A 22,450-nucleotide genomic window follows, 5' to 3' on the forward strand; every position below is an offset into this window, starting at 1 on the left:
GTCTTGTAAGAAGGTTCTGCACCAAAAGAGGCTGGCTGGACAGTCTGTCAAACTGGAGGGGTCAAGGCCAGTTCACTGCTGGAGGTCATCCTCCCTGTCCTCTATTCCCTTTGCATCTTTGCTGAAATGATCACCCAGAGATGCTGATGGGTTTGTCAAGTCCCAATGTCAGCCTGAGACAGTATAAGCTGTTTGCTTTACTAGCACAAAGTTAACATGCATCATTACCTTCAATGTAGCCAGTGGCCTTCCGAGTGAAGAAGTCTTGGGGATCCCACTCACAAGCTGGGATGCCCCCCCCTGCCCACGGAAGGATATGAGAGGCTGCTCAGCTGTTGCCACTGAGGAGATTTCATGAATTCCCTGTGTGTGCATAAAACACACACCCTCTGTCATACACAAACTCCTCTCTCTCTCACACACAGGACAGGAACTGTCATCATCCAGAAATATGGTGACCTCTCCCCTAAAAAATTAGCCCATTTGTAATTTGGGAGAAGAAAGGATAGGTTGCTGGGGAGAGGTGACTGAACTACAAATACTCTCACTGGCAGAAGGACAATGAAAAGTTGTCCCCTCAGGCACAATCAGTTTTAGGGACGGGCCGAGCTGAGAGGGTCTTTGATAGGAAAGAAGGCCAGGCTGGGAAGCATGAGTTTCCTTACCTCCTCTCCCACCTCGATGTCTCGGACTGCTCGCAGTAAGAGGTGGGGCCCATTGAACACAATCGAACAGTTGGGGTCACAGCTGTGATTGAGCAAAGAGATACTGGAAAAAAAAAGGGGGGAAGACTGTCACAGCTCAGCAGGTAGAGTCAACTAAATTTAACAAATGCAGTGGGTAAAATACACCTTCCTTTGGGGGGCAGCAGCAGGTAGGGTTGACAGGATGCCAGGGGTTCAGTACTCGGGGATGCATTCACAGAAATGTCACTAGCACACCTCCCACGAAGTGCAATTCTCCTCAAGATGCAGGCTAACTAGGGAATTCCGTCATTTAATAATAAAAAAATTTCCTGAGTCCTTTTTGGGGATTGGGGCATAGTTGACTGATTAGATAACAGTCAATAAGGCAACCCAACACGAAGGTCAGAAAGAAACTGACTCAGAAAGAAATACTTAGACAGCTGGGTGTGGTGGCTCACGCCTGTAATCCTAGGACTTTAGGAAGCCGAGGTGGGTGGATCATTTGAGGCCAGCAGTTTGAGACCAGCCTGATCAGCATGGTGAAACCCTGTCCCTACTAAAAATACAAAAAAATTAGCTGGGTGTGGTGGCACATGCCTGTAGTCCTAGCTACTCAGGAGGTGGAGGCAGGAGAATCGCTTGAACCCAGGAGGCGGAGGTTGCAGTGAGCCGAGATCGCACCACTGCACTCCAGCCTGGGTGACAGAGTGAGACTCCATCTCAAAAAAAAAAAATACTCAGACATAATGGGATGCAGCAGCCAAGATACCACTGACCTCTCCCATAGGATCTCATTTGTTGAGCTCCTTTGGAGAAATGGCCGCCTTTGCTAGAACATCCACACTGAAAAATAATTAGGACTATTTGCTCTTAAATAGAGAGCTGACGTTATTTTGCCACCTACATCCTGATGCATCCTGGGCCATGGTCCAGTCATTTTATTACCTTGGAGGGACATTTCTTACCATCTGGGAAACAAAATGGATTTAAGCTGCTATCAGGAATTGGTAATAATTAGAATGAGCACTTACTATGTAGAAACACTTTCTTGCACTTGAGCATGTTCATCACATTTAATCCTCACAACAATCTTATGAGGATCATTTACAGGTAAAGAGACTGATGCACAGAAATTAAATGACTTGCTCAAGGACATACAGCTAGTAAGTGGTGATGGAATTTGGACCAGGTGGCCTGAACGCAGAGCCCATGCTTTGAATCATCCTATGTTACTGCCTTTTGAGAACCACCTACCAGTAGACCTGACCTACAGTTAATGACAATTGTGAGAAATAAGAAAAAAGGCTGAATTCTTAGATTCACAATTATTAGAAAGTCTAAATTTGTATTTGGACTCTTATGGCATAAAAACAAAATGAAACTGGGTGTGCCTATAGTGCTTGTGGAGAGACGGTTTCATAGCTCAGTGGTAAGAGTCAGCTCAGCAATAGCTGGAGAGAGCATTCAGGGGCCAAAGCCTGAGAGTTTTCTTGCCTCCTTGAGTGAAAGGGCTCAGAGTGTGCCAACTCGAAAGACAACATGAACCCAACTGATACGTACGGCAAGTCCGGTGAAATCAGCATGTGCTGCAGCTCAGGAAACTGGGGAATAACCAAAAATCAGCCCGATGGTTAATTAGCACCCACCGTCCTCAACTTCTTCACCCAAAGTCCCCCTGAGAACAAGAGTTTAGTTCTGAGATCTGCCCCTTTGTTAATATCACAGCATATAATGTGGGGTTATAAAACTGTTTTCTTTCAACTTAACATTTTCCATTTTTTTGTAATTTATTGCTAAGTTTTAAGCTTGGCTCTTGAACAAGCTGCAGCAACTGCCTTTCTAACTACCTCCAAAGGGCTGGGGATTTGGGTGGGAATGAAAGTGTGTCTTCCAGTACATGAAGTACCATACACCATACCTGGGATATAGGCCAACACCAACTTCCTGCATCTCCGCATTACAGATGGTGAAAGAGTTGCAGATCACCTGTAAACACAAGGGGAACCATCAGTATTACTAGAGTCACTTAAGAAACTTCATAGCCAAGAGAATAAAAAACGTTCAAACCCAAATGTAGGAGCATCTTAGTAGTTGCTTAAGAAAGAGCCAAGCCAATCATGGATGCTCTTTGACTTACAACAGAATTTATCTGGGATATACTCCCCCTAAAAACATCAGGTGGTTAAGTGCAGAAATACCAACCTCCTGGGAGAAAAAAAAAAAAAACAGACGGAAACCAGCAGAGGAACCATTAATTTCAGTCTCATTATCCACTACCCCAAAGTTACAGTTACATGAACTGTTCAAAATCCAGAATATGAATAAGCTATTTATTGAAAACTAGACTCCTGCTGTATCACGATTTTTTCAAACTGCATGCAGTTTCCAAATGCCACTGTGTATCTGTTCAGTGATAGCAACTTGTCTCTTACTCCTACAGAAAGCGAAGTATCCCGTGACTGAGCCTGTCGTCTGATGCGTGTTGGTGAAGACCACAGGGAGCACTGGAGGTCATTTAGTCAAGCCATGGTATTTACCAGGAGTCCATCACTGGGTACATGACACAGTCCTGTCTTATGCAGGGACGGAGCAGAAGCAGTAAAAAACACAATCGACTGTGCTCAAGGAACTTAAAAACCTCGTTTGTGAAATAAGGTTGATGTATGAGGTCACACAGAACCATGGAAAGAGCACTGGACCAGAATCAGGAAATCTAGATTCTGGCTAAAATCACTGCTTCAGACAGGTGCGAGGAAAAGAGCAGTGAAGAAAAACAAAACAAAAGTTCCTGCCTCCGTGGAGCTCAAGTTCTAGTTGAATACACAGATTTTTTAAAAAACCCAATGATAGAAAACTGTCACATGTAGATAAATGCCAAGGAGAGAAACAAGGTCCTTACAGAGAAAAAAAGTTGTCAAGAAAGCTCTTTAGGATGAGTTGACATTTAAGCAATGACCTGAAGGGACTGCTGAAATGAACGTGTGTATTTATAGGCGATAAAGGCTCATATCAGGAGAAAGAGCAAGTGCGAAGGCCCTACGCTAGGAATGCCCGTGGTAACAGAGGAACAGCAAAGAGGCTAGTGTGACCAAAGCGGAGCAAGAAAGTAGGGGGCAAAACACGAGCTCAAAGACGGAGTGGGATCACTTACGGCCCTACTGCCATATTTGGGTTTTGCTCTGAAGAAGATAGAAAGCCACTGGATTTTGAGCCAAGGCATGAAGGAGTCTGACTTCTGCTTTAAAAGGATCATTCTGGCTGTTGTGTAGAGAATGGGCTATAAAAAGGTGAATGGAAGTGGAGAAAATGGTTAGGAAGTCACTGCTATAGCCCAGGTGATAGACAATGGTGACTCGGATGTCGGTAGCAGGAGAACTGGGTAGCACAGCCAACAGGCCTTACTTACTGCGGGACGGCTTGTGGGGAATGAAAGGAGTCAGGATAATGCTCGAGTTTTTGGCCGAAGCAAGTGGAAGATCATAGCTACCATTTATTAAGATGAGGAAGAATTTAACAGGAACAAATTTGGTTACAGGGAGTTGAGAGCAAGTCCAACAGTTCTGTTTTGGTTAAGTTAAATTTGAAATCCAAGCCAAGACTAAGAATGAACAATTGGAGTTCACAAGAGGAGTTGCGCCTAGAGATATAAATTTAGGATGAAACATGACAAAGGCCATCAAAAAACAAAAAAAGGAGAAGAGGCTAAACATTTGAGATGAACCAGAGACTACAAATGGATGCTGACTTGTTATAAAGTTTCTGTAAAGGAAAAAGTGATGACGAATTTCTCAAATCAGGTTTACATGAAAGAACACGAAGTATGAAAACACACTGAGTCCTCTGAGACTCTTCCACTGCTCCAAACAGCTCTTACATGAAATCTAGTGCACTCTAGCATGATTTGGCTTTTTTCCCTCTAAATATATAAAATTGCAGTTTCAAATCAGGAGCAAAATTATACATATATATTTGTAAACAAATGCTAAATTGCTTTAAGGACAACTATTTTGCATTAAGCAGCAACAGTACATTGTCTATATATACTTATGTATAAATTGGATGGTAAAAATATAAGACAGAAAGTCCTACGTTTAATTTTTGAAATTTTAAACATTTTTAAATGTGTATAATTTGGGAAGGGATACAAGTTTTAACAAATATTTTAAAGTATAATGAGAACTTTAGTTGAAATAATCCACCAACAAAAAAACCAGGTCAAACACATCTGATCTGTTAACTTCTGAATCAAACCAGCATGGTTTTTTCCTGGACTATGAAGCAAATTAACGGTTTTTTCAAAATAGGAAAAATCTTTATCAGTTTTTTTCCATCGGTTTATTTCATGGATTCTGATGGAATGTTTAAGAAGGAAAAGCTAACAAGAGGAAATGTCAGCTTGCTTGTCTCTTCCACTGGGAAACTCTTCCTGATTTCCTAAGATGACTTCCCTCTTTAGCAGCATTTATCATACTGGATCATTATTTACCCATTTACTTGCCATCATACACAACTGGATCGTAAAATACTTGGGAGGGCAGACACAGTGTTTCATTCATCACTCTAGTCCTGTACCTGGCTCAAAGCCTGGCAAACAGAAGACACTAATAAATCTATTTCCTTTTCTTAGAGACAAGGTCTCACTCTGTCACCCAGGCTGGAGTGCAGTGGTGCGATCATGGCTCACTGCAGCCTCGAACTCCGGAGCTCAAGTAATCCACCCTCAGAGCCTCCGGGGTAACTGGGACTACAGGCTGGCACCACCACCTCTGACTAATTTTTTAAAACTTTTTGCAGAGACAGGAGTCTTGCTATATTGCCCTGGCTGACCTTGAACTCCTGGCCTCAAGTGGTCCTCCCGTCTCGGCTTCCCAAAATGCTGAGATTACAGGAGTGAGCCATAGCTCCTGGATTTCATCTATATTAGTCTGAGTGTTACGTGTTAGTCTTTCTGGGCTAGTAAACAGAAGGTTTAGTTTTTTGCCTACTCTCACTTTTATTTAAAATGCTGGCTCCATCCAGCACTATCTCAATTAACAACCTGACAGGAAATATTTTTGACATACACAACTGATAGCAACAGTGGATATGCAGAAGCTCTCTGGCTTTTTTTTAGTGCAAGAATAGGTAGATAATATGTCCATGTGTGCTCAATAATTTGAAAGGAATTGCTCTTTATATCAAGAATTAAAAGAATGGAAATAAAGCCCAGAAATAAAAGTTTAAACATTTTTCAAAGTACTGTCTTTGTGAAAACAGTTTTCTTAGGGAATTGCACAGGTTAAAACAATTAATGAATGCTTACTTCACAAAAAGATAACATTTAGAAAAAAATATTAATGGTACTACTTCAATAAAAAATAAATGCAACTGGGTTAATGAATTCTTTCTAAAAATTAAGCTTGAGTATTACTTTAGAAATTTTTACCATGTCTTAAAACTAAAACACATATTTAAATTGTTTTATTATTGAATGCAAAGTTATATTTACTTTCTGTAATTTTTCCTTTAAACTAATTGAAAGCCTTCATATATAATATTATAGTTTTTCTAGATGACAAAAATCTAGTGAGTTGTCATTGAGCCTCTGTATTTTATAAAAACAACTACAGTGAAACTTAAAATGTTCTGTGAACCAAATTCTTATGTCATTTGGTTCAGAGTCTAGGTCCAGAATCTGACATTTGTGTCCTGAGGTTAGCAATTCCCCGGTAGATTAGACACAAATAGCAAAATCAATACCAACACACAAAGTGAATACCTTACAAAATGAGTGTATTACCATGTATTCAAATTTCATATTTTTCCTGAAATTCTTAGGACTAAAGGCTTTGTATTGTAGCAGCAGTTAAACTGAGATATTTGCAACACAAGAGAAAATCACTACTAAGCCATTATCTTGCAACGGTAAAAATCAGAACAGCCATAAGCAAACTCACAACCAATCAGAGCTGAGTAATTCTACACCATAAGACAAGAACCCAGCCACTTCCCAGCCCCCTCCCCCAATTACTGAATTCTACACAGCCTATTTCAAATAATACTTTCAATTTCCCAATATATATACAAATTTTAAAACACATTTAAAAAGAAGGGGATTCAGTTTCTGAACACAACTATACAGAGGTTTCCTCCAAGACCATCTGCATCTCCTTTAAAACTTTTCTGTCTAAAATGTTCAGTACAGTGTCTGGCACAGAAGACTTTAGGCACATCAAGTTTACTAACTAGAGGGACTAAATATGAGTTTTCAAAACGGAGTTTAATGTACTTAGTTTTATTAAACCCTGGACAGAAAAACTGGAAGGAGGAAGAGTTGGCAGGTACGAAAACCAGAAGCAGAAGCTTTTACACTACATAACTGCCTCTGCCCCCCGGCACCCCGACTCCTAGAACTAATATTTCTCTAACTTTAAAAGCACAATAAGAATTTTAATCAGGGTATATTTTTCTCTACCCACAGAATATGACAGGTTATTAAGTACAGATTTTTTTCCAGAATCTTCTCATAAACCTTAAGAGATTAAAAATTGTATCTCCCAATCCCTCCTTATCTGTATGGCAAATATTTATCCATCCTTCAGGACCCAATTCAGTCCTTGCCTGTCCCATTGCCTCTTTTGGTCACATAGTTAAAGGGTTTGAAATCTCCAAACCAGAACAGCGGGAGGGGACCAGGCTGGCGACGGAGGTCAGCTCAGGAGAGGAGAGGCTATACTTCTTAAATGATGATTCGCAAATCCCAGAATCCACAAAGTGTTACCGGAAGGTTTACGAGAGTACAGGTGATTTCGGCATCTGTTTCAATTTCAATTAAAAAAAAAATCCATAATAGAAACAATGACCAACTACATTTCCCTTTGCCAGGAAGTTGCTGGAGGGTCTCAAGTTTTACCAGGGAGCATGCTGTAAGGTTGCGGGGACAAAGGCCCATGCTCACGACTTAGTCACTAAGCTGCATCTTCACTACACTGCTAGTCTTGCGACAGTTTGACATTATAGTTTTCCATTGTTTCTTAGTCACGTTATTTCATTTGCAAACCTAATGGACCCCTGATTAAAGACAGAAGCAAGTAGGAGATATGACTCCAAAGCACAATGTAGACAAATGGGGTTGCATCAAACTAAAAAGCTTCTGCATAGCACAGGAAATGGTCAAGAAAGAGACAACCCACAGAGTGGGAGAAAGTATTTATAAACCATACAACGGATAAGAGGTTAATACCTAAAATATATAAGAAACTCAAGCAACACAATATCAAGAAAACAAACAACCCAATTTTAAAATGGGCAAAGGATTTGAGTAGACATTTCTCAAAAGAAGACATATAAATGGTCAAAAGATTCATGAGAAAATGCTCAATATCACCAAATGCTCAATCATTAGGAAAATACAAAATAAAATCACAATGAGGTATCACCTCATGCCTGTTTCATCAAAAAGATGAAAGATAAACCTTGGTGAGGATGTGGAGACAAGGGAATTCCTGCACACTGGTGGAGTCTACATTAGTCCAGCCATTATGAAAAACTGTACAGAAGTTACTCGAAAACCTCAAAATAGAACTGCCATATAATCAAGCAATCCCATTTCTGTACTCAACTAACTAAAATAAGAGATATCCGTGCTCCCACTCTCACGTGCACTGCAGCATTTTTCACATTAGCTACGATATGGAATTGACCTAAGTGTCCATCAACAAATGGATCAAGAAAATGTAGTATAGATACACAAATGGAGTAATATTCAGCCCTTAAAAAGAAGGAAATTCTGTCATTTGCAAGAATATGGATGAACCTGGAGGACAGTATGTTAAGTGAACTAAGCCAGGTACAAAAAGACAAATAATCCATGATCTCACTTATATGTGGAATATTAAAAAGTCAAACTCATAGTAATAGAGTATAATGGTGGTTACCAGAGGCATGGGCTGGGGAGAGAAATGGGGAGATGTTGGTCAAAGGGTGCAAAGTTTCACCTTCTTCACAGGAGGAATAAGTTCTTGAGATCACCACAGCATGATGACTACAGTTAATAATAAATTGTATATATATTTCAAAGTTTCCAAGAAAAAATTTCAAATGCCTCACCGTAAAAAATGACATGAGGTAAGGGATATGCTAAATTAGCTTGATTTAATCATTCCACCTTGTATACATTTACCAAAAATTCACATTGTACTCTAAATATATACAATTGTTATTCGTTAATTAAAATTTTAAATAATTTAATAAGACAGAAAGCAAGGATGTTGAAAAACAAGGGAAAATACATAAAATGATAATTCTATAAATTTGTCTCAAGATGCTTTATATCATGACTTACCAGGTTGAAATTCTTATAGAGCATCTCAAGACATCTCTAATATTTGAAAAAATGTTAGGAGGAGAACATACACTGAATACGTAATCTTATTTTTTTTTTTGCAGATGGCGTGAAGACCACGAAAGTCCCCAGTGTGTGATTTGGAATGTGCTTGCACTTTGCTACCTAAAACCTTTCTTGTCTTATAATCGAGAAAAAGAACATAGAAGTCATGAAACATAATCCAGCTGGTTTCTTAAAGAGTTAATTATAAGAATGTGAAGCATCAGGTCATGAAAGCAATATGCAACCTAAGGCCCAAAGCAATAATATTTCATTTAAAAATTTGTGTTGATTAAGGCCAGGCGCAGCGGCTCACTCCTGTAATCCCAGTACTTTGGGAGGCCAAGGCAAGTGGATCGATTGAGCCCAGAAGTTTGAGACCAGCTTGGGCAACATGGCAAAACCTCGCCACTATAAAAAATACAAAAATTAGCTGGGCATGATGCCATGCACCTACCTGTAGGTCCAGCTACTCAGGAGGCTGAGGCTGCAGTGAGCCATGATCGCGCCACTGCACTCCAATGACTGTCCCCGCCACAAAAAAAAATGTTGTGGTAATAATGTTTTTACAAAACTAATTTACAGCAGGTTAAACCATGCGATATCACGTGATAAAGGAGAAAACTAAAAATTTGTCTTTATATGCTATGATTATTAAAGATTTTACAAATTCACTTTGTAATACAAGTCAAGTAAAAAATAAAATAATAATATTATTTAAGAAAACTCTTTATCCCACCACACATGACAATATATTTGGGAATTTGTCTTTCTAGACTGAGATACATCCAACTGTTTTCACAACTGCAGTGGTGTCTGTCCCATTTCAAGCTCTGGCCACAAATAAGTCTGCAGTGCACACTAGACACACAAAATCCTCAACAATCACTTGTCAAGGCTAAAATCAATATCAAGGCCAATATCATAAGGAATGGCAATCATAAAATTGTGCTTTCTATTTTATCTCTCTCCCACAGTCAAACTGCCAAATGTTAGCAAATGAAGCCCCTTTAGATAACATGCTTTCTAAAATCCACAGATTTTCATTTTCTAAAAGCTTTACTCACAACAGAACTTATAAACAACTATCCTTGCTAATAGCAAAATAGTCACATATTTGTCCACTGTTCCTTCCCTGAGGCTCTTACCTGGCATTTCACCTCCTTAAAGCCATCTGATGAAACAAGCACTTACCACAGATGTCTGTCAAATACGTAGAGAAGGTATAAAGCTCTGACACATCATTTTCATTGTTTCATTTTCTTCCCATATCCTGAGGCTCAGAAATTCTTCAATAATTTATTACAAGACATCATTATAGGTTTCCATAGCTCCACGGTCACATCTACCAATTTCATTTAGATGTGCTCCTACCCAAAAGGTTTATCACAATGAACTGAACTTTCTCCCATGTATCGCACTTAAAGATTCTTTTGTTCAGCTTAAATCTTCAAAAACATTCTCTTCTATGATACTCTAGTTTCATTATTCTCTAAGTAAGTGGTGTGGAAATCCACCCCCAGCAGTACCAGGACGCCTCACTGTAATCTTACTCCCAGTACTAAATTCCTAAATCAAGTATGCTAGGTGCTGCATAGCACCTGACTGAAGTTGAATTAGATATGGCAGCGTGTGGCTCAAGTTATCTGTTTTTCCGTCAAATTAATGGAGAAAAGGAAACTACAGAAAAACGTTACACGTGAAAGGTAAGACTGCACACTAATCAACTGCTTAAAGTAATCCCCAAATGAAAGATACAGTGCGTGCTGAGGTTCCTTTCACTATGTAGAAATTAAGGTGAATATTCTCTCCGGGTGAACTTTTGGCAGGCAAGGGTTTGCCATACCGATGATGCCTGACATCTCAGGGAGTGAAACCCAGAAGCAGGTATTTCACATGACAGTAGCTGAAGTGTGCATGACTCGTGTACAAGCTGTGCGGGCCCGCATGAAGGTATTTTGGGGACTAGTGCGTGGCTGTTTCTGGCAGCCAATGACAGGCTAGATGGGGAGCACCTTGGGGGGCCACTCCTTCTTTGGTTGCCCAAGCATGCCTGATCCCTGGATACAGCCCGATAACCTAGTGGGCAGGAGCCAGGGAAGAACAAACACAGATCAGACGAGAGAGAGTCACAACTTTAATTATGCAGTCAAGAGGCATCAAGAAATGAGTCTCTGAGGTCAGACAGCCCCTCTTTTGATCTCTCCAGGTATGCTCCTTTATTTTTGGAAATATAGAAAGAAATAAAAGAGGAAATTTATCATGGCTTCATTCCAACTCCTACACTGTTCCTTTGTACAGAAGTAGCTCATAATTCTTCCCCTTCTTCTTCCAGACACTTTTATAGATGGCCAGATACACAAATCAGACTGGTGGGATTTCAATGCAAGGATATCATTTGATCTTTTGTCTTCTCTTCTGGTACCATTTTTAACTAGTCACCATCATGAATACATAAATAGTGCCATTCCCAGCCTCTTTCCTGACCAGATTCCTGAGTTGGTAAGTAGCTAAAACACCAGCATACTGCCCCTACACCGCTTCAGTGAGTTGCTGCAGCAATTTGCAAGGAAGGTTCCCCTTTCCTGACTCAAGAGTTCATCAGAATGTGAAGAAAAGAGGAGTTCAAGACCACCCTGGCCAACATGGTGAAACCCTGTCTCTACTAAAAATACAAAAATTAGCCGGGCGTGGTGGCCTGAGGCTATATTCCCAGCTACTCGGGAGGGTGAGGCAGAATCACCTGAACCTAGGAAGTGGAGGTTACAGTGAGCCAAGATCACACCACTGCACTCCAGCCTCGGCGACAGAGCGAGACTCCATCTCAATAAAAAAAATTAAAAAATAAAAAAATTTAAAAAAAAAAGAATGTGAAGAAAATAGATAATTTAGAAAAGTAGATTAAACATATTTTCTTTTGTAATGGACATTGCTGAAAATACAGTTTGACAAACTCTTCTTAGCTAGTTAGCAGGACCCTCTTGACTAAGAAAGCATTATAGAAGTATCGGTTTAAAAAGATAGACAGGCCAGGCACCATGGTTCACACCTGTAATCCCAACACTTTGGGAGGCCAAGGCGGGTGGATCACGAGGTCAGGAGATCGAGACCAGCCTGGCCAATATGGTGAAACCCCATCTCTACTAAAATACAAAAAATTAGCTAGGCATGGTGGTGGCAGGTGTCTGTAGTCCAAGCTACTCGGGAGACTGAGGCAGGGGAATCGCTTGAACCCAGGAGGCAGAGGTTGCAGTGAGCCAAGATCGCACCACTCCACTCCAGCCTGGCGACAGAGCAAGACTCCGTCTCAGGAAGAAATAAATAAATAAATAGCCAAACCCTGGCCTAGAGGAGACAGGCTGACTGTTGGGTCCAGATCTGGTCCCCATCAACTTTTCTAGTCTCTTCTCTAGTGTCTGCCTTCTCATGTTTTCCTCTCAGTTTTCCTGTCTTCACACCTTCATGTCTCTGCCAGGTGGAACAGTCCCACTGCTTAGAATGTTCTCCCCTCCTTCCTCTAGCTACTGAAATACCACTGGTCCCTTAAGAACGGTTCGAAAGTCTTTTCCTGTGGGAGGCCTTCATGTCATTGAAAAAGAAGAAGAGAGAGGGACAGCTGCAATCACTGTGGCTCCAGTCGGTGCCGGGGAGACTGGGTGGTTTGGACTGGGAGGAATTCTCCACAGTGCAGCATAGCGGCTATGGCAAATCATGGCCAGACTGTTTCTTTAGGTGGGTCACAGATCCATCCCTCCTCACCTTCCCCTCAGGGAATTTCAGCAACTCCAGCCAGGGGTTTACGGACAGAACTCTGATCTCCCCGGGACACAGCACTGGGGGGAGGGGCAGCTATGGTCTCTATGTTCAGCAGACTTAGTCTTTCCTGCCTGCTAGCTCTGAAGAGTCCATGCAGTCTGGACAAGGGGAACTCCCCCCAGCGCAGTGCACCTGCTCTGCCAAGGGGCAGCCACACTGCTTCTTTAAGCATATCCCTCATCCTGTGCCTCCTGACTGGGTGAGACCTCCCAACTGGGGTCACTAGATACCTCTGACAGGAGCATTCTAGCTGGCATCAGGTCAGTGCCTCTCTGGGAGGAAGCTCCCAGAGGAAGGGGCAGGCAGCCATCTGTGCTATTCTGCAGCCTCCACTGGTGATACCTCCAGGTGCAGGAAGCACCCAGGTGAATACGGTCTGGAATGGACTCAGCAAACCACAGCAGCCCTATGGAAGAGGGTCTTGACTGTTAAAAAAACAAAACAAAACAAAACAAAAAAAAACAGAAAGCACCACTACCACCGACATCATCATCAACAAAAAAGACTCCACAAAAACCCCACCTAAAGGTCAACAGCCTCAAAGGTCAAAGGTAGATAAGCCCACAAAGATGAGAAAGAATCAATGCAAAAATGCTGAAAACTCAAAAAGCCATAGTGCCTCTTCTCCTTCAAATGACTGCAACATCTCTCCAGCAAGGGCACAGAACTAGGCAGAGTCTGAGCTGGATGAAATGACAAAAGTAGGCTTCAGAAGGTGGGTAATAACGAACTTCACTGAGTTAAAGTAGTTTGTTCTAACCCAATGCAAAGAAGCTAAGAACCATGATAAAACATTACAGGAGCTATTAAGCAGAATAACCAGTTGAGAGAGGAACATAAATGACCTGATGGAGCTGAAAAACACAACATGAGAACTTCACAATGCAGCCACATGTAACAACAGCTGAACAGACCAAGTGGAAGAAAGAATTCTGAGCTTGAAGACTGTCTTGCTGAAATAAGACAGGTAGACAAGATTAGAGAAAAAAGAATGAAAAGGAATGAACAAAACCTCCAAGAACTATTGGTTTATATAAAAAGACCAAATCTACGAATGATTGGGGTACCTGAAAGAGCTGGGGAGAACAAAACCGAGTTGGAAAACATAACTCAAGGTATCATCCAGGAGAACTTGCCCAACCTAGCAAGACAGACCAACATTCAAACTCAAAAAATCCAGGGAACCCCAGTAAGATACTCCATGAGAAGATCAACCCCAAGACTCATAATCATCAGATTCTCCATGGTTGAAATGAAAGAAAAAATGTTAAGGGCGGCCAGAGAGAAAGGCCAGGTCACGTACAAAGGGAAGCCCATCAGACTAACAGCAGATCTCTCAGTGGAAACCCTACAAGGTGGAAGAGATTAGGGATCAATATTCAACATTTTTTTCGTTTGTTTGTTTTGAGACAGAGTCTCACTCTGTCACCCAGGCTGGAGAGCAATGGAACAATCTCGGCTCACTACAACCTCTGCCTCCCAGGTACAAGTGATTCTCCTGCCTCAGCCTCCCGAGTAGCTGAGATTACAGGTGCATGCCACCATGCCAAGCTAATTTTTTTGTATTTTTAGTAGAGACAGGTTTTCAACATGTTGGCCAGGCTGGTCTCCAACTCCTGACCTCAAGTGATCTGCCTGCCTCAGCCTCCCAAAGTGCTGGGATTACAGGTATAAGCCACTGCACCCTGCCTCAATATTCTTAAAGAAAATAATTTCCAACCCAGAATTTCATAACTGGCCATACTAGGCTTTATAAGTGAAGGAGAAATAAAATCCTTTTCACACAAGCTAATGGTGAGGAAATGTGTCACCACCAGGCCTACCTTGCAAGAGCTCCTAAAGGAAGCACTAAATAAGGAAAGGAAAAACTGTTACCAGCCACTACAGAAACACACTGAAGTACACAGACCGATGACACTATGAAGCAGCTATATCAACAAGTCTGCAAAATAACCAGCTAGCATCATGATGACAGGATCAAATTCACACATAACAATATTAACCTTAAATGTAAATGGGCTAAATGCCCCAATTAAAAGACACAGAATGGCAAGCTGGATGAACAGCTGAGACCCATCAGTGTGCTGTGTTTAAGACACCCATCTCACGTGCAAAGACACACGCAGGCTCAAAATAAAGGGATACAGGAAAATTTACCAAGCAAATGGAAAGCAGAAAAAAAGCAGGCATTGCAATCCTAGTTTTTAACAAAACAGACTTTAAACCAGCAAAGATCAAAAAAGACAAAGAAGGGCATTACATAATGGTAAAGGGTTCAATTCAACAAGAAGAGCTAACTATCCTAACTATATATGCACCCAATACAGGAGCACCCAGATTCATAAAACAAGTTCTTAGAGACCTACAAAGAGACTTAGACTCCCACACAATAATGGGAGACTTTAACACCCCACTGCCAACATTAGACAGATCATCAAGACAGAATATTAATAAAGCTATTCAGGATCTGAACTCAGCTCTGGATAAGTGGATCTGACATACCTATAAAAATCTCTAACCCCCCAAAACAGAATACACATTCTTCTCTGTGCCACATGGCACTCACTCTAAAATTGATCCCTTCTAATTGTTTTACTAATTGGAAGTAAAACACTAATCAGCAAATGCAAAATAACTAAAGTCATAACCGTCTCTCAGACCACAGCACAATCAAATTAGAACTCAAGATTAAGAAACTCACTCAAAACCACACAACTACATGGAAATTGAACAATGTGCTCCTGAATGACTCCTGGGTAAATAATGAAATTGAGGCAGAAATGAAGAAGTTCTTTGAAACCAATGAGAACGAAGAAACTATGTACCAGAACCTCTGGGATAGAGCTAAAGCAGTGTTAAGAGGGGAATTTATGGTACTAAAAGCCCACATCAAAAAGCTAGAAAGACCTCAAATCGACATCCTAACATCACACAACTAAAAGAACTAGAGAACCACGAGCAAACAAACCCCAAAGCTAGCAGAAGACAACAAATAACCAAGATCAGAGAGGAACTGAGGACAGACACACACACACTTTCCAAAAAAAAAAAAAAAATCAAAGAATACAGGGGCTGAGTTTTTTTTTTTTTTTTTTTTAAATAAAATAGGCCACTAGCTAGACTTAAAAAGGGAGAGGAATCAAACAGACACAATGAAAAATGATAAAGGGGATATCACCACTGATCCCACAGATATACAACCAACCATCAGAGAGTACTATAAACACCTCTATGCAAATAAACTAGAAAATCTAGAATAAATGGATAAATTCCTGGACACATACATCCTCCCAAGACTAAAGCAGGAAGAAGTAGAATCTGAATAGATCAGTAACAAGTTCCAAAATTGAGGCAGTAATAGCCTACCAACCAAAAGCAGCCTAGGACCAGACATATTGACAGCTGAATTCTACAAGAGGTACAAAGACGAAGTGGTACCATTTATTCTGAAACTATTCCAAACAATTGAAAAAGAGGGACTCCTCGCTAACTTATTTTATGAGGCCAGCGTCATCCTGACACCAAAACCTGGCAGAGGTACAACAAAAAAAGAAAACTTCAGGCCAATACTCCTGATGAACATCAGTGTGAAAATCCTCAATAAAATACTGGCAAACCAAATCCAGCAGCACATCAAAAAACTTACCCACCATGATCAAGTAGGCTCCATCCCAGGGATGCAAAGCTGGTTCAATATTTGCAAATCGGTAAATAAATGTAATTCATCACATAAATAGAACCAGTGACAAAAACCACATGATTATCTCAATAGATGCAGACAACGCCTTTGAGAAAATTCAACACCCCCTCATTGTAAAAACCCTCAATAAACTAGGTATTGAAGGAACATAACTCAAAAATATTAAGAGCCATATATGACAAACCCACCCAGCCAATGTCATACTGAATGGGCAAAAGCTGGAAGCATTCCTCTTGAAAACTGGCACAAGACAAGGATGCCCTCTCTCACCACTCCTATTCAACACAGTATTGGAAGTTCTGACCAGGGCAATCAGGCAAGAGAGAGAAATAAAGGGTACTCAAATAGGAAGAGAGGAAGTCAAATTGTCTTTGTTTGCAGATAACATGATCCTATATCTAGAAAACTCCATCGTCTAAGCCTAAAAGCTTCTTAAGCTGATGAGCAACTTCAGCAAACTCTCGGGATTAAAAAAAAAATCAATGTGCAAAAATCACAAGCATTCCTATACACCAACAGACATGCAGAGAGCCAAATGATGAATAAACTCCTATTCATAATTGCTACAAAGAGAATAAAATACCTAGGAATACAGCTAACAAGGAAAATAAAGAATCTCTTCAAGGAGAACGATAAACCTCCGCTCAAGAAAATCAGAGGACACAAATAAATGGAAAAATATTCCATGCTCATAGATAGGAGAAATCTTTATTATGAAAATAGCCATACTGCCCAAAGTAATTTATAGATTCAATGCTATTCCCATTAAACTACCATTGACATTATTCACAGAATTAGAAAAAACTATTTTAAAATCCATATGGAACCAAAAGAGAGCCTGTAGAGCCAAGACAATCCTAAGCAAAAAGAACAAAGCCGGAGGCATCATGCTACCAAACTTAAAACTACACTACAAGGCTACTGTAACTAAAACAGCATGGTACTGGTACAAAAACAGACATATAGACTAATGGAACAGAATAGAGAACTCAGAAATAAGACTGCACATCTACCACCATCTGATCTTCGATAAACCTGACAAAAGCAATGGAGAAAGGATTCCTTATTTAAAAAATGGTACTGGGGGAACTGGCTAGCCATATGCAGAAAACTGAAACTGGACCCCTTCCTTACACATTATACAAAAATTAACTCAAGATGGATTAAAGACATAAATATAAAACATAAAACTATAAAAAACTCCAGAAAAAAATCTCGGCAATACCATTCAGGACATAGGCATAGGCAAAGATTTCATGAAGAAAACATCAAAAGCAATTGCAACAAAAGCAAAAATGGACACATGGGATCTAATTAAAGAGCTTTCGCACAGCAAAAGAAACTGTCATCAGAGCAAACAGCCTACAGAATGGAAGAAAATGTTTGCAATCTATCCATCTAACAATGGTCTAATGTCCAGAGTCTACAAGGAACTTAAACAAATTTACAAGAAGAAAACAAACAGCCCCATTAAAAAAATGGGCAAAGGACATGAACAGACACTTCTCAAAAGAAGACATTTATGCTGCCAACAAACATGAAAAAAAGCTCAACATCACTGATCAGAGAAATGCAAATCAAAGCCACAATGAGAATCTCACCCACTCAGAATGGTGATTAAAAAGTCAAGAAACAACAGATGCTGGCAAGGCTGCAAAGAAATAGGGATGCTTTTACATGGTTGATGAGAATGTAAATTTGTTCAATCATTGTGCAAGAGTGTGGCAATTCCTCAAAGGCCTAGAAGCAGAAATACCATTTGACCCAGCAATCTCATTACTGGTTATATACCCAAAGAAATATAAGTTATTCTACTACAAAGATACATGCATGTCTATTTTCTTTGCAGCACTATTCACAATAGCAAAGACAAGGAATTAAATGTCCATCAATAATAGACTGGATAAAAAAATCATGGTACATATACACCATGGAATACTACACAGTAATAAAAAGGAACACGATCATGTTCTTTGCAGGGACTTAGATGGAACTGGAAGTCAATATCCTCAGCAAACTAATGCAGGAACAGAAACCCAAACACCACATGTTCTCACTTATAAGTGGGAGCTGAACATTGAGAACGCATGGACACAGGGAGGGGAACAACATACACTGGGGCCTGTCCGGGGATTGAGGGGCGGAAGAACATCAGCATAAATAGCTAATGCACGCTGGGATTAGATTAATACCTAGGTGATGGGGTGATAGCTGCAGCAAACCACTATGGCACATGTTTACATATGTAACAAACCTGAACGTCCTGTACATGCACCCCCGCAGTTAAATTTAAAAAAGGAAACAGCACAGCAATATTAAAGATAGTACTGCCTGAAATACCACAATTTAGGTTTTTTCTCTGAAGAGCCAGAAAGGAGATACAGGAAGAGCTGAATACAAGTGACAAAGAATCTGAACAGGAGAGGAGAGATGGTCTCAGAGTTGTTCCAAACTTACTTGTCCTCAAAGCTCTCCTCCACCACCTTCCTCCACCGCATGTGGAGGCCACCTAAAAATCACACCACTCAACACATTGTTTTCTATCAAACAGGTCTTTACACTAAATCCCAAATATGTTGTCCATGAGAGGAACATCTGACGTTCCCACGCCACTCACGCCTCAAAGCACTTCACCTCACCTCTTCCAGTTCTCCAATCCCCTCACAAAGAAGCTATGAGTACAGTATCTTCATGAAAGAAAGGTAAGAGAACTCAACAGACGCTTCTGAGGCTACATGGTCCGATGTTCTCACGCATCAAGGAAATTTGGTCAAAATAACCTTTGCAGAAAACTCAGTTATGAAGGAAGTACGTACAGGCAGAGTGGGGAGGGGGTTAAGCTAAAGGTCGGGTCTGAAACACAGTGTTGTACACTAGACCCATCAGAAGGATAGATTTGTTCATTCATTAAGGGTCTATTATGTACCAAGCACAGCGCCAGGCACTAGGAAGAAAAGAGGAAAAATTGTCCCTTTTAATCATGTTGCTATTATTTCACCGCCCAAGTAAAACAAAAATGTAAAAAACTCCCCATTTCTCTCTAATTTTGACAAATTTTAGCCTTCCTCAGCCAAAGATTATTTTCCTGACTATTGGCCATATTTCTTTGTTAAGTCACTCTGTCAAAACATAAGTTGCAATAATGCGGGGCAGCGTCGAATCTGCCAGATCAATTTAGAAACAAATGAGTCTGCTGCTCTTCCGTGGCCCTGGGAGGCGGGCTGGCCTCCACGTACTGTCAGATCGTCCACAGGAAGAATTGCTGGGGATTACTGAAGACCAGCTGGGAAGCGTCAACTAAAATGGATGGCCTTTGAATTTTCCACTCTCCCATTGTCTAACTATAGCCAGCCGCCATTCCCAAATTAATGCCACAGAGAGAGAGATATTCTCTCCTAAGGCAGGCTGCAAAGATAAATCGGCTACAAAAGAGCAAGTAGCTAAAGGAAGAAACAGAAAATGAAGCCTTGGCACTCTGTCATGTGAATGTCACAGTATTTGCAGGAATTCATACACGGCACAACCAGAGACAGAATAGAAAAGTAAGCTTCCTTCCTACCCCGGTCCTCCTCCATATCCCCCCAAAACGAACCCAATTGTTTCCTGTTTTGTGAATGCCTTCTGCTACCCCATGTCACCGTATTTTAAAACATCAGGGATTCAGTTGCTTTATGTGGGGTAAAATGTGTTAAATGTGCCTGCATTTCTAAACCATCGGCTAATGAGATTTTATTAGGAAGAGCCCAGAAATAAATTACCAGAATTTACCAGAAAGCTATAAAATGGAGGGATTGTGAGGATTAAATGAGAAAATACATGTGGGCCTTGGAATGACTCAGGGCATATAGGAAGCTTAGTAAATGGTAGCAAGATCATAATTATTACCATAGTTCGATCAACTGTAAGACCCACTCAATAAACAGTCCACACCATTATGTTACGTACCACTAAGAAAAAACACTACCAATTAAACTGTCAGCCTGTGTATTATAAATCAGATATCTCAGAATTAATGAAATACAGTATCACTACATATACCTCTAGGTTTCCAGAAGTAAGTCACAGTGTACGTAACTAGTGACAAAGATTCTTTACTTGGCCAAACTCAGAGGAGATTCTTTACTTGGCCAAATTCAGAGGAGATTCACGCCTCTGAATCTCCTAGGTCCATCCGTGTTGTTCCTCAAAATCCAGTTTTAGCAAAAGAACCCTGCCTAGCCGGTTTCGCCAGAACCTCGGTACTCAGAATCTTCATGTTCCTCATCCTTCACCACCCTCGGGTGCTGTCTGATCACCCTGGCCTGTCTTCAGCAAGAATCCAGTTAGGTAAGAGGGGCCTCAAGGTGACTGAGAAGATGCATCTGGAACTTGCTTCCTCCACAAAGAAGAATCGAAACAGCAGGACGGAATCGCAACTGGAAACAGCAGGACGGAATCACAACTGGAACAGATCATCTAACAGAGAACAGTGGAATTCAACATGGAAGTGACAGGAGACGCCTAAGGCAAGAAAGGAGAGGGAAGCAAGGCAGCCTCTTTGGCTGGGACCCTGAAGAGGCTCCCCACTGTGTGGAGAGAGTAAGTGAGAGATGCCCAGCCGTCCACATTCCCACATGGACTCCTGTGATCCGAGCCACAGGAGAGCCCCTTGTGGTCCTTAGACTAACAGAGTGCTGCCCGGGGACCACGCTGTGGCACTGCTCCAGGGAGGGAGCTTGTGCTGGGCCCCACATACTGCTCGAGTCCTAAGCAGCTACAGCACAGCACCATTTTGAGGGCCCAGCTTCCACCAGGCAGCATCCTGCCCTGGGCCCCAAATAGCCCTTGAATGTCCACATTCCTGGAGCCCCATTGATATCCTCCACCACAGCCACTGCTGGCTCCTGCTGCTGCCAGGGCTGAAGCACAAGCCACTAGCAGTGACCCTGTGGCCCCAGCAGCAAGGCCACCATGCACATACAAGTACCCTAGGACAGGTTAACCCACCTGCAGCCACCACCTAGGACCAAAGCACACACTCTTCAGGACACCTGGCCCAGTTCCACCAGCCCCAGTGACCAGGCAAGCCATGCAAAGGCCTGGGGATTGCCCTACCCCGTCCATCCACCACTGTGGGCAGCTGAGCAGTTCCTCTGCAAGCCTGAGGATGGGCCTGCCCGACCTGCCGCTACCAGCACATCTAGCATCCATTGCATGTGCCAACTGCAGGCCTAAGGACCGGACTGCCCAGCCGGGTGCAGCCAACACCAACACTGGCCACTTGGGAGCCAGGGGATCCTCCTGCCATTGCTACTGCCATTGCCTATGCCACGCCCATTGCCCAGACGCCCAAGGACCCTCCCACCCAGCACACTGATGCCACCTACCACCAGCACCCAAGCAAGCCAACTGGATGCCCAAGAACTGACATGCCTAGACTTGCTAACGTGGATGCCAGTGTACACAGCCTTGAGGCCAAGGACAGGCACATTTAGCCCACCACCGCCACCGTGGGGCCCAAGGACTGGTGCGCCCGGGGTCCCTGTCCCCAGCAAAATTTCACTGCAGCTTCTGCTAACAACCACACCACCCAGAGCCACTGAGGAAATTATAGACACCACGGATGCCGATACAGCCAAAAAAGAAAAAGAAAAAAAATCATATGGAGACTACACTACCGTGCGCACCCAGAACCAAAACCAAAGTACCCAACCAAGGCCGGATGCGGTGGCTCACGCCTGTAATCCCAGCACTTTGGGAGGCCAAGGCGGTGGATCACTTGAGGTCAGGAGTTCAAGACCAGCCTGGCCAACATGGTGAAACCCTGTCTTCACTAAAAATACAAAAATTAGCCAGGCGTGGTGGCACACACCTGTAGTCCCAGATACTTGAGAGGCTGAGGTG

The 22,450-nt window shown here is 41.8% G+C and overlaps 1 protein-coding gene across 19 annotated transcripts in view, besides 1 other annotated feature; it reads right to left on the reverse strand.

The window, feature by feature from the left end:
• The window catches only part of SMYD3 (SET and MYND domain containing 3), a 757,933-nt gene that overhangs the window by 177,919 nt on the left and 557,564 nt on the right, over positions 1-22,450 (reverse strand). For 18 of the 19 annotated variants that reach the window (NM_001375962.1, NM_001167740.2, XM_047428020.1 and 15 more), the window contains 2 exons: positions 2,605-2,672; positions 666-768 (listed from right to left, as the gene is read on the reverse strand). In NM_001375962.1, coding sequence (NP_001362891.1) covers positions 666-768; positions 2,605-2,672 — 171 coding nt within the window. Of the gene's footprint in view, positions 1-665; positions 769-2,246; positions 2,288-2,604; positions 2,673-22,450 lie in introns of all 19 variants that reach the window. The other variant, NM_001375966.1, reaches the window with a different exon arrangement.
• Positions 20,905-21,405: an enhancer, noted in NCBI's record as "H3K4me1 hESC enhancer chr1:246111472-246111972 (GRCh37/hg19 assembly coordinates)". NCBI's record gives its function as "activates a minimal SCP1, AML or CMV promoter by ChIP-STARR-seq in naive H9 embryonic stem cells {active_cell/tissue: H9 hESC(naive)}" and the evidence as "EXISTENCE:reporter gene assay evidence [ECO:0000049][PMID:30033119]".

This window comes from Homo sapiens, chromosome 1, assembly GCF_000001405.40.
Source record: "Homo sapiens chromosome 1, GRCh38.p14 Primary Assembly".
In the NCBI taxonomy this organism is placed as follows: Eukaryota; Metazoa; Chordata; class Mammalia; order Primates; family Hominidae; genus Homo; species Homo sapiens.